This window comes from Homo sapiens, chromosome 1, assembly GCF_000001405.40.
Source record: "Homo sapiens chromosome 1, GRCh38.p14 Primary Assembly".
In the NCBI taxonomy this organism is placed as follows: Eukaryota; Metazoa; Chordata; class Mammalia; order Primates; family Hominidae; genus Homo; species Homo sapiens.
In genome coordinates this window covers 172325702-172338795 of record NC_000001.11, presented here as the reverse complement: position 1 = coordinate 172338795, position 13094 = coordinate 172325702, and the positions used below count along the sequence as shown (strand labels likewise).

The window sequence follows — 13094 nt, the reverse complement described above, 5'->3', positions numbered from 1 at the left end:
GAAAGTTTTCAGAGCTACTTAGCAGAAAAGTACAAAGAGATATGGTAATGACTTCTTTGAACAAACAAATATACAGAAAAGAGTGAGTTAATATGAGCTCTCAGGGCGCACCTGGTGGGCTGTGGCTGCTCTGATCCTGTGCCACAGAGAAATGCACTAGGCTTCTCTATATCATCCTTCCAGCCTGGGGATTGCCAACAGTCGTTTTCAATGAGGAAATGGAATGACTCCCCACCATCAGTGTTAAAGCTGTGAACAGAATCCATTCACAGGCTCCTAAGCTACTGGAAAAATGATTTGCTATTGCTCACAGCTGACAGGGACTTGGGAAGGATGTGATTCGAAAGCTGAATTTCTGGTAAACCCAGACTTAGGGCATGATTCTCACTATTACATCAATGTGCTTCACAGTAAAATCAAAGGCTATGGGTTTAAAAATTCTCCTCAATGGTAACGGAAGGAAAATAGTCATAGCTTTTGTAATTTACACTCTGGCTGCTGTTAGTACCTAGCACAGTAATTTCAAAACTTTAGAGGTTATCAAAATTACTCTGGCAGTTTGTTTAAAATGAATACTCCCAGGCGGGGTGCAGTGGCTCACGCCTGTAATCCCAGCACTTTGGGAGGCTGAGGCAGGTGGATCACCAGGTCAGGAGTTCGAGACCAGCCTGGCCAACATGATGAAACCCCGTCTCTACTAAAAATACAAAAATCAGCCGGGCTTGGTGGCGGGCGCCTGTGGTCCCAGCTACTTGGGAGGCTGAGGCATGAGAATCGCTTGAACCTGGGAGGTGGAGGTTGCAGTGAGCCAAGATTGCACCATTGCACTCCAGCCTAGGGGACAAAAGCCAGACTCTGTCTCAAAATAATAAAATAAAATAAAATAAAATAAAATAAAATAAAATAAAATAAAATAAAATAAAATAAAAATAAAATAAAATAAAATAAAATAAAATGAATACTCCCAAGCCATATTCCCAGATATTCCAATTCAGAAGACTTGGGATTAGCCCAGGAGTTTGCATTTTTAATTAGCAACTTGGCTATGTCTGATGCAAGGCAGATGGCCCACTTTGAGAAAACTTGAGCTAGTGGACACTCATGGTCTCTTCCCTATTCTTCAACAGTGTTCCCAACTGAACATTGATACTATTCTACAAGATGGTGACAGGTGTGATTTTCTTAAAAAGTGTGTTATTTGATCAAATAAATTCAGGAATTACGGTGTTAAAAACTTTTACATGTTTCTTTATCCCTGTTTTTCTCAAATACTTTAAAATGCTAATATACTTTGTGTATCACCAGAAGGGAGATGCAGAACACAATGTAACTTAAATGTTTTGGATAATGGAATCTTCTTCTCTTCTTTTTAAATAGTCTGAGCATACTTTGGGAAGCACTGCTATAGAGAATGTTCATCTAAGAAAATATAACAGCAGAGAACGACTGAGATGTGTAATCTGTAATCTCTGTGGAACTGGTTTAGTAGTAGGGTATATGAAAATACAGTGTTTAGGGAAGACTGGAATAAGATGCCAGGCCACAAACAAATTCTGAATGTAAAAGCCAGGCCATAAATAACTCAGCAATAGGTAGCCCTAATGATGCCTATCAGGGCCTTATTAAATAGTAAAGTCCTTGGTAAATGGTAAGCTTGGAAAAGGGGTGATATTTGGAGAATGAGGATAACATTGGGAGTCAGAAAAACTATTGGTTCCAGAATCACAGAAGGCACTTTGACAAAGATGAAAACATCATGCAAGTACAAAAAATAATGATAGCCGATACATTGGAAGATAGCCAATACATTTTGAGAATTAAGTTTGTTCCTTGCACTATTCTACATATTTCACAAATATTAACTCATTTAGTCCTCGTGAGGTAGATTGTCATCAAGCTCCATTTAATGAATGAGGAGAGAGGATCAGAGTCACTTGCACAAAGTCACCCAACTAGTTAGCAGCAGAGCTGGGATTTGAGCTCTGACTGGCACTTTAAAACTCTGCATTCCCTTATCCCTCTAATTAGAGTCAATAGGTGTGCAGTTGCAGTTAAAGAAGACTATCTGAGAGGAGGGACTTTTTTTTTTTTTTTTAAAGGTAAAGACACGATCAAACTGCCAAGGATTAAATAAGAAGGTAAAAGAAAACATTGTAGGCTGTGATTAGGTAAGATATCAGGAATGTGAACCAGCTCTAGATTTAAGGAAAGTAAACTGATGACATGAATCAAAACTTTATAATTTGTAGTAATAATTTTTAAAAATGTAATATATAAATTATAAAATTTATATATATAAATTATAATTATAGAAAACCTTTAATTGTGTATTTCCTGTGACACTTTTCTCTTCTATAAATCTACCCTAAGGAAATAATCAGAAATGTAGATGAGAAATTATGCATAAAGATGTTTATTCTAAATTTGTATACAATAATAAATTAGGTTGAAATTGAGTATAAACATTAGAAAGTGCATTAACGCTAGACTTAACCCTGGGTTTAATCAAATCCTGATGCGTTCACTTATTAGATGTGTGACCTTTGGCCAGTTTGCTAACTTTGCTAAGCTTCATGCTCTTTCTCTCTAAAATGGAGATTCTCAACAGCAGTACTACTGACATTTTAGACGGATCATTCTTTGTGTGGGGGGCTGTCCTGTGCCTTATAGGGTGTTTAGCAGCATCTCTGGCCTATACCCACTAGATAGTAGCACCCCCAACCCGGCTGTGACAATCAAATATGTCTTTAGACATTGCTAAATTCAAGCTAAAATGTGGATGTTTACCACTCTCAGATGTGATATTTGTATTCTCTTTCCCTTCTTTTTTTGACTTTTTGACTTCAACTTTTATTTTGGATTCAGGGGGTAAACGTGCAGGTTTGTTACATGAGTATATTATGTGATGCTGAGGTTTGGGGTCCAAATGATCCTGTCACCCAGGTACTGAGCATAGTACCCAAAAAGTAATTTTTCAGTCCACGTCCCCTCTTTCCCTCCCCTATCCAGTAGTCCCCAGTGTCTACTGTTGTCTTCTGTATATCCATGTGTACTCAGTGTTTAGCTCCCACTTATAAGTGAGAACATGTGGTATTTGGTTTTCTGTTTCTGTGTTAATTTGATTAGGATGATAGCCTCCAGCTGCATCCATGTTGCTGCAAAGGACATGATGTCACTCTTTTTTATGGCCACATGGTATTCCATGGCATATATGGACAAAGAAAATGTGGTATGCCATTGATAGGCACCTAGGTTGATTCCATATCTTCTTTCTATTTGTGAATAATGCTGCAATGAACATATGAAAGCATGTGTCTTGTATTCTATAAATAATATTATACATTTTATGCTTTTTTATACTTCTATAATTCATCATAATTATAACCCTCTCAGCACTTCACATGAATTGGAAATGTAAAATTTTTAATAGCTTTCATAAGACTTGGCTTCTATCATTGATTTCAGTAATTTTGTCATATTTGAAGAAAATCAAAGTGTAAAAGTTTATGCCTTTATCCCCGAAAAACTCTACCTCTAAATGGGCTGAGCAAATTGATGTGGATAGCTGAATCTTTGGGTTTAGCTTCGACTGTCTTATCTGTATAAAAGTGACTTTAAAAAAATCTTGATTGGCAGACAATTCATTGCATACCCTGGTCAAAAAAGTTTCTGCTTGACAATCCATGAGTCAAGTTATTGGGCCACATGGAAAGGAAAGAATTATGATTTTAAGGTTGGAAAATTAGAAAAGTTTTTCCTGATAAAGACTCAGATTTTAACTGTTCCTTACTGAGTCTATTTTTGTATCTTGTTCTCTTGCTCAAATACAGAAATATTTTACTTTTTTCTGTTTTTGTGGAATTCCAATTTTGAAACAGGCTTTTAGAGGAAGCACATAAAAGTTACCCAAATTTATAAAAATTAGTTTTTTTTTATTTAGTGAAAGACATATGTTCACAAAAAAGTGTGGGTTAAGGCAATTCTTTGTAACATGCACAGTCCTTGACCAAGTAGGCAAGCCCAAGTATGAAAATCTGTTTGGTTATTATCATACTTCCTAAGGCAAACCAGCAAATCAAAGGGCAGGGAATATATTTTTCATATGAAGCAGTTACTGCTGAAACATGGTGGAAAGTGTGGACTGCATGTAGCCAGAGTCTGCAGGCTGAACAGATTCCCCTTCTTCATCCAATCCTAAGTGAATTGGGCTCCATTAATGAAGGACACAGGTCCAAATCTTCATAGGCTGTTTGGGTATAGGAGTATCTTGTATACTTATTTTAAGTGAGATCAGGGTTTATCATTTTTGACACTATTGACACATTTGATGGGATAATTCTTTGTTGTAGAGGATGTCCTGTGCATCATAGGATGTTCAGCGGCACCTCTGGCTTCAACCCACTAAATGCCAGTTGTAACTTCCCATTCTGACAATCAAAAATGTCTTCAGACATTACCAAAAGTTCCCTGGAGAGAAAAATCACCCCTGGTTGAGAATCACTGGTCTATGTGGAAACAATATATAGACAGTCTCCAATTTATGATGGCTCCACTTAAATTTTTTGACTTTAAGATAGTATAAAAGTGGTATCCATTCAGTACACTCTCCTATTTATGATGGGTTTGTTGGGAAGTAACTGCATTATAAGTCAAGGTGAATCTGTGTATTTTTTCGGTTTCTTAATTGGGGGATTAATTGTGGTGACAGAACTATTTCGAAAAGCTGATCCTTTCTTAAGGCTCTATTTTGCTCTTTGATCTTTAGTTAAGATTTTATTTTTGACCTAATCCCTAGAAGTGTCACCAACTCTCTTTAAAGCCCTTGTGATATAAAATGAGAAAATTTATGAGACTAATGGCTAATTACGTCAAAGAAGAAAATTAAAATGTCTCAATCAGAACTTTTCTTCAATTCATAGTCAATAATATTTTATGTTGAAGAATGTGTGTTGTCATTATGCAAAGCTGGTCTTTAATATCCTTTTGTTTCACAATTAGATATCCCTAAATAATATTAGCCTTTTCTATTTTAGGGATAACTCAGTTAGTTGGGATGCAACTGAATATATTTTCTGAACCCTTATTTAAATATTATTGTTTTCTTTTTACAACTTTGTTTACTAGATTCTGCATATTCCAATAATTTAAAAAATTCCTTTTTACCTCTGGATTAAGATAATATGCATCAAGTTGAGGCATGATAAACAAAATGAAAATGCTTTAGAAACAACTACAGTTTTAAGTTAAAATGTGCTAGTTCTCTTTGCTTATAGTTTCTTTAAAAAATAGGGTCCTAAATAAGTGACTTATTTTGGGTTTTGTTCTGGGATATTTGTCTGCCTGCTCCATCTATTCAGATTGCTTAATTTTAATATGCAGGTGTACGGCTTCGATGCAATTATACTCATTACTAACTGGGTCTAGGCATATGCTCACCTGGTCTTCTAGCTTCCTACAAGTGCCTTATACTCACTTGTTCAGTCTACTTAAATGTTACTGCTCCCCGCCACCACCTTCCCACAAACACTTTTAGTGTAACAGTTTTGTCTTAACTTATTAGATTTCAAGTTAATAATACATGAACGCATTAACAAATGAATGTCTAAAAAATTCACAAGAATCCCTAATTCTTCAAACCCATTTTTATGCTTGTTTATATGCTCATATAAATACAGAAGCACTTGTACACACCACACATACACACACTCTCCTGTTCTTCTTCAGTCTATTTTGCTGGTTTCTCCTCTTCTAATATATTTTTAAAGGATAGATATTTTGTCCTCAGCTCTCTATTTTTGGTTTCTGCACTTTCTTCCTAGGTGCCAAGATTTTAAATACGTAACAACTTCTAAATCTCTGTCTGCAAACATCTTCCCTGAACTCTAGATTTACATATGTAACTGCCTAGAAGATGTCGCCATTTGGATAGTGAGAGTCATCCAAATATCTGGTTCTCCTTCAAGGCACTTAGCAGGATTGTACTTCCTGTCCATTTGAATTTAGGTGTAACCATGTGGCTTGCCTTAGACAATGAAAGGAGTGTGGAAATAACATGTTACTTTCAGTGTGAAGCATTAATAGCCAGTGTGTGATTCTCTACTCATTCATTTTGTCTGCCATAGTGATAGGCAATAATCCTACTGGCCTGGGTCCTGCAGTGAGAATAACAAAGAGAAAAGCCCCAGCTGGCCGGGCATGGTGGCTCATGCCTATAATCCTAGCACTTTGGGAGGCTAAGGTGGGCGATTGCCTGAGCTCAGGAGTTCGAGACCAGCCTGGAGAACAGAGTGAAACCCCATCTGTACTAAAATACAAAACATTAGCCGGATGTGGCAGCATGCACCTGTAGTCCCAGCTACTCAGGATGCTGGGGCAGGAGAATTGCTTTACCTCAGAAGGCAGAGGTTGCAGTGAGCTGAAATCACACTTCTGCACTCCAGCCTCAGTGACAGAGTGAGACTCCATCTCCAGAAAAAAGTAAAAAAAGAGGAGCCCCAGCCAACTTGATGATGAATGTTCAGATGAATATGCAGCTTGAGCAAGAAATAAATCTTGTAGTTTGAAGCTACTGAGATTTGAGGAGTTGTTTGTTACAGCATTGTAACTTACTCTATCCTGACTAGAAACTCATGTGTACTAGGCATCTCAAACTTTAGCATGGTTAAAACTAAATGTTCCATTCCACTTTCTCCTTTCCTTACATTATTAAATGGCACTAACATGTACCCATTGTCTAAGACCCAATAAGCTTTTTTTTTGATTTTGCCCTTTCTCTCATTTTTTCATATCAAATCCATCAGTAATTCAAAAGATTGGCTCTACAAAATATACCCTGAATCCAACTGCTTCTCACTATTTCTACTGCTGTGACCCTAACCCAAGCCATCATCATCTCTCCCCTGAACTGACACAGCAGCCTTCTGACTTTCCACCTAAACACCACTTCCCTGTTTTTTCTTTCCTTATTAATTTGTAAGAACTCATCAAACTTTGACAGTAGTAAAATAGTAACTTTTTTCTGTCATATGTATTCAAAATGTTCTCTTCAATTTTAATTTCTTTCTAAACTCTGTTTATTCTTTAGAGTCAGATTAAGTCACTGGCTTTTACTGCCATCAGCCTTAATCTGTTTGTGCTTAAATATACTACATAGGAACCAGACACTTTATACCTCTAAGCCTTTCTGCTCTTGTTTCACTGGAGGTGTCTGGTGGGGTGCCTAGCAAACGTATATTAAGTGCTGCTCATGGCTGAAATCAAAAGAAATAATTGTTTTTCCTAAAGGGAGCATTTCTTAGTGGGACTCTAATTCTGATCTTGGTATTTCAATTGTCATCATGCTTTTTCAACATTAAGAGTATACATTTAATTATATAAATAAATGGGTTCAAGGCAAATGAGTTGACTTTTACATTTAAATTTTACATAATTATTCTGCTAGCCTAATATTATATGTTATCTTTAAACCTCAATGAGATTTTTAAAACAGCAGAAAAATCAAGAGCCAGAAATTAGGTCATGAAATGGCTCACTGATAATCCTTAGACAGTATACATTATTTGTATATTACACACAACACAGTCATAGTAGTCAACAGCGCTGACAGGTAGGAAACTGGAATTTAAGGAAGAACGATTGGTCCAGGAAGATGGGGAGGCTTCATCTCATGGAATTTGAGCATTTGAAACAAAGACACTATTGAAAGCAATAGGCAATGAATGAGGGAATGTGAGCATTTGGAGACTCCTAATATAGTCCTTCAACAATATGCAATTCAGTGAGGAAAATAACATATTTGCACAGGCAGAGTAAACGGAAAAGAGGTAACAAAATCTGTATAATCACAACAAAAATAATCATAATAAACATGATTACATAATTATGTCAAGCTTGTAGGGTCTCAGATGCTTAGTTTCCACTTTAAAGTTAATTTCCACATGTATCTTTGACATTCATATAAAAGTTAATCTATTTTCTTGTAAAGTTTAATCTATTTCTTTTATGGTACATATTTCTCCTCCTAGATATTCTGTTTTCACCATTTTATACTTTTCTTTCTTTCTCACCATCCTCTATTTAAGTATCTTCCTCTTCATTTTTTTGTGTATTTCAAAACCTTTTTTTGAAAGTTACACAAAGGATGGTTATCACATAAAAATGAGAAAACAACACAGGACCACAAATTAATATTGCTCATGCTGTTAAAATTTTGGTGTAAATTCTGTACCAGAATTTCTTTATTTTTAAAATTTCAACTTTATTTTAGATACATGGGGTACATATGCAGGTTTGTTACATGGGTATTTTGTACCCTGGTAGTGAGCATAGTACACAATAGGTAGTTTCTATGTGCAAACATATATGTATATATCTCATCCTATGTAAAATTTTTTAAGTAAAATGGAATTATGCTACCTATGGCATGCACAATGTTTTGTTAATTTATCATGAAAATTTCTATATATATATCTTTATATTTTTAAAGATAAAAATGCTTTGCTTCATAGCATTTTGTTGAATCAATATACCATACTCTATTCAACCAATTTTCTATGATGGATATTGATGCTGTTTTAAAACATTGGTAATTATGAACAATGTTTCAAAATCATCTTTGAACAAATTTCTTTGCACAATTATGGAATCATTTGATAAAAATAAACTTTGAAGAGTGGAATTGCTGAGCCATAAGGTTTGCGCCTAACCAAGGCATTTAATGCAGAGTCTCAAGCTGGCCTCCAGGGAGGCTACATGCAGAGTCGGCAACATGTGTGGTACACAAGGAGGACGGCTTCCTCGTTACCACCTATCACACGACCTTCTTTCTCATATCTCCTAATCTGAAAGCCCAATCATGATGTCTGGCTGGCTGTTTTAATTTACACTTCTTGGTTCCTAGTGAAATTGAAACTTTTTGTCATATATTAATTAGTCCTTTTGCAGGGGCTAGGAGGGCTTCTAAATGCTCTATTGATTTGGCCCCCTTCCTTTTTTCCTAGTAGGTAGTGTTCTTTGCTTTGTTTTGCTTTTTTTGTTTTAGCTTTTTTAATAAACTGAATAGGGATAATTCTATTTTGAGAATATTTAATCCTTTGTCATATATGCTTCAGGTATTTTACTTGTTTGTCTTTTGCCTTTTAACTCTACTGTCTCATACGAAAGCTTTAAATTTGTATGTAGTTTAAGCTTTCTTGTTTTTCTTTTGCTATTTTCTAATTCATTAATTTTTACTTAATGAATTTCTTTCTTTCATCAGGTTGCAGTTGCTCTCTTTCCAATCTCCTAATTTTATTGACTTCCATTAAACAAATAATTCATTTTCAAATTAATTTTTCTCTTTGTATAGTATTGGTTGTAGCCTGTATAGTGTTTTCACTATTATTATATTCCAAATAGTCTGTAAGTTAAATACTAATTTCCATTGGATCTATTTTGGAATGTATTTTTTCACTTGTAAATAGATAGGTTTTTACATTTAAATTTTTCTATACAGCTCTAGTTTTCTGTATTTTACCAGACATTCAATATTCATATATCCTTTAAATATGCACATATATATCTTTTGAATCTCACTTATTTTTTATACCATTCACATCCTTTTTTATCTTGGTTTTTGCTCAGTTGATCTGCCAAAGATAGACAGAAGGCTTTAAAACCCTCCCTACTGCAATGATTCTGAATGATTTTACCATACAGTACCATAACCACATTAACATTAAAAACAAAAAAAAACACAAATTCTTAATTTTTAATAGAAATACTCTGTAAGGGTTTAAATTTCAAAACAATGCTTATCACAAGGTAACTTTTAAAATCAGCCAGGCATGATGGGTCACACCTGTAATCCCAGGACTTTGGGAGGCTGAGGCAGGAGGATTGCTTGAGCCCAGGAGTCCAAGACCAGCCTGGGAAACTTAGCGAGACCCTGTCTCTAAAAGTAAATAAATAAATAAATGAATAAACTCATACTTCATGATAAAATGTTTTCTTTTTGTTTAACTTTTATTTTAGGCTCAGGGGGTAGATATGCAGGTTTGTTATATAGGTTAATTGCATGACACAGGGTTTGGTGTGCAGATTATTTCATCACCCAGGTAATAACCATAGTACCTGATAGGAAATTTTTTGATCCTCGCCCTCCTCTCACACTCCACTCTCAAGTAGGCCCCGGTGTCTCTTGCTCCCTTCTTTGTGTCCATGTGATCTTAATGTTCAGCTCCCACTTACAAGTGAGAACCTGTGGTATTTGGTATTTGGTATTTGGTTTTCTGTTACTGCATTAATTCACTTAGAATAACGGCCTCCAGCTCCATCCATGTTGCTGTGAAGGACATGATCTCATTCTTTTTTATGGCTGCATAGTATTCCATGGTGTATATGTGCCACATTTTCATTATCCAGATATTATGCTTTCAAAACAGGCATGAACGACTCTTGTTTTGGAGCAGTGTTAAACCAGTTCCATTAAAAATATCATGAAGCATGCAGAAAGGAGATGTCTACAATATTGGGATGTGTACATTACAATATGTGAGAGCAAATATGTTGAAACAGCTATGAAGTCCTAAACATTATTTCCTATTAACTAGAGAGGTCACTTCATTTTCGACCCAACAGAGAAAATAAAAATATATAAACAAGCCCTAATGACCCTTAAGAAATCCCTGTATTATAATCTACTATAAGCTTTCTAAGCAGCAGCAGATCAATTCTTGCTTCTCTATAGAGTCTATTTAGCATGATCAATAAATTTGGGAACATAATATAGATTCCAATTTGCTTCTAGAAGTTTTCTACCCTCAATTAAACTGTTCCTTCTCCCAACAGTTTACTATTAAAGTGAGGGGATTCAAAAATAAGGCTTTAACAATGCTCTTTTAAGGCTGATTTGCCAAAAACAGAAGCAAAGGTTTACTGGTGATGCAATGATTGACAGACAATTTTTTTTTATATTCACATGGAACTAAAATAACACTTTGAGGCTAGGGAATTTTCATCCTTTCTTTTAACTCTAATGATGTCCTTATTGGGTTATGCATAAATTTAGTCAACCAGGTGGTGGGGGACGGTGTTCCTTAGACCCCAGGGCATGTATTGGCTTAAGTTTTCTAAGAAAATCAGGGAAAGCACACACATTATTGAAATAAAATAATTGAGCTGACCATACCTAAATTGCTTAGAGTGTTCTGACTTTTGGTCATGCATTTAATATTATACAAAGAAAATGTACATTATGACACTGTACTCTCTGCTCCTTTCATTCACCATGATTATAACACGCATCATCAGAAAGACATTTTCACATTGTGAGGATGAGTTTTCAGTGGCTATCTACTTTCTCTCACATACGACCAAGGACAATAATTTAGGAGTTGAGGGCTTGGTGTAAAGAGGCATAACTAATTAATATGGATTTAATATCTTTGCTCTTCAATATATATACTTTGGTGCCATTTGACTTGGTAAATTTTATCTTTGCAAATGAGTGCTAGAATCCAATGGATCACCAAAATAATCACTCCCAGTGATAACCACTTTTCCCACGAATGAAGGCTGACCTTGTCCACTGGCCTTGCTGAACGTGTTAGGAAATCACTAGACAAAGTGTTTCTTAAATGTTGTAAAAACAGTTATTCATCTAATTTTCCTTTCATTCTTCTTTTCTTAAATATCAAGGCCCTCCAATATGTATAAAATTTTTGCTTTTAACCTAACTAGAATTTAATTAGCAATTTTAAAATTCTGTTTTAGCATGTTTCTGTTCTATTTCTCCTTTAAAATGATCCTTCTCTCTAAGCAATACAGTCAGCCTTAAATTCTGTGGGGGAAAATATAAGAGTCCTTTAGTTTAACAATACTGAAGTTAAGTGATTATAAATTTCTTTTTTAAAAGCAACAAAGGATTCACAAGGCACGAGCTTACATGTGGCTTTTCCTTGTAACCTAAAACTTTTTGAAGCATTGATTTCTGAATCTAGGATTCATTTTAGTTTTCATTTGTGTATCTATACCAACATCGTTAAAAACTTTTAGGGCTTTTGATATATTTATATTCCTTACATGTTAAGATTTTCTCTACCTTTAACTTGCCTAATTTAATATCAAAAATATTTAACTGAAACGTCAAGTATTTAATAAAAAATTAAATTAAAAGTCTATGAAATTTCTAAAATTGTCCACCAAGAGAAGCCATCACATTCAAAAAGGAAATCAAATGGCTTGTGTCTAAGACACAACATGGAGGTTAATTTTTTACCTAAGGCCTCCATTCTGAAAATAACATTCTGATTTACATTTGTACTCAAGAAACAAGTTTAAAAAACAAAATAACCTCCCTGTTTCTGTACATATTTGTTCACATTCCCAGAACTGACTCAGGGTGTCCTGGATTCTGGTCTTTCTAATGAAGACATTGACTTGGAATCTGTGGTCCAGGGAAACCCATCTTAGGAGGAGATAGACTCTACCCTGAGCAATTTAGGAAATCACTATGCCAACACGAAAACATTTTCAAAGGGAAAAATAAGTAACAGGCCTGGAAGGAAAATTTTTCCTGAGCAACTGTGATCTCCTCACAAAAGGAAAATGTGCTTTTCAAGGAGAAATAACAACATACATATGATTGTGCAGGAAGAATGTGAACCTTGATGTTTTGTTCCGTCATGCATTCATAATGTGAATCTAAATGCACATCTATTGTAGAAGTTAGTTTTCTTGGAGTTTAGAGGATTAGCTCCCAAACTTTAAATATAGTCTAAAGATGGATGAAGCAGATCAATTTGGCTGTCTTTGAGAAAACAAATAGCAGGATTGTTCCATATACCCCAGGTTATATGTATATGTGCACATGTGTGTGCACTACTCTTAATGTATGTGGAAAGATGAATCTGTCCTGCTCATCTAAGGAAACATTAATTTGGGCAGACTTCATTTGCTCTAGAGTCTGGTTAATAGCATATATAATAAAATGCCATGCACTAGATAAACAATAAGCCTTTGCAAGTCTAAAATGAGTCACACTTTACAGCTGGCTCACGTATATGGCAGGCAACAATTCAGGTATGTTGCCTTGGGGACAACTCAGAACAAGCATT

At 35.2% G+C, this 13094-nt stretch overlaps 1 protein-coding gene across 16 annotated transcripts in view, besides 1 other annotated feature; it reads right to left on the bottom strand.

Moving 5' to 3' along the window:
• Nucleotides 1-13094, bottom strand: part of DNM3 (dynamin 3) — a 576969-nt gene that overhangs the window by 79671 nt on the left and 484204 nt on the right. The gene's annotated exons all lie outside the window — the stretch shown is intronic.
• Nucleotides 7708-7834: a silencer, noted in NCBI's record as "fragment chr1:172300102-172300228 (GRCh37/hg19 assembly coordinates)". NCBI's record gives its function as "represses an EF-1alpha promoter that drives an FKBP-Casp9 reporter gene in an ReSE screen in K562 erythroleukemia cells {active_cell/tissue: K562}" and the evidence as "EXISTENCE:reporter gene assay evidence [ECO:0000049][PMID:32094911]".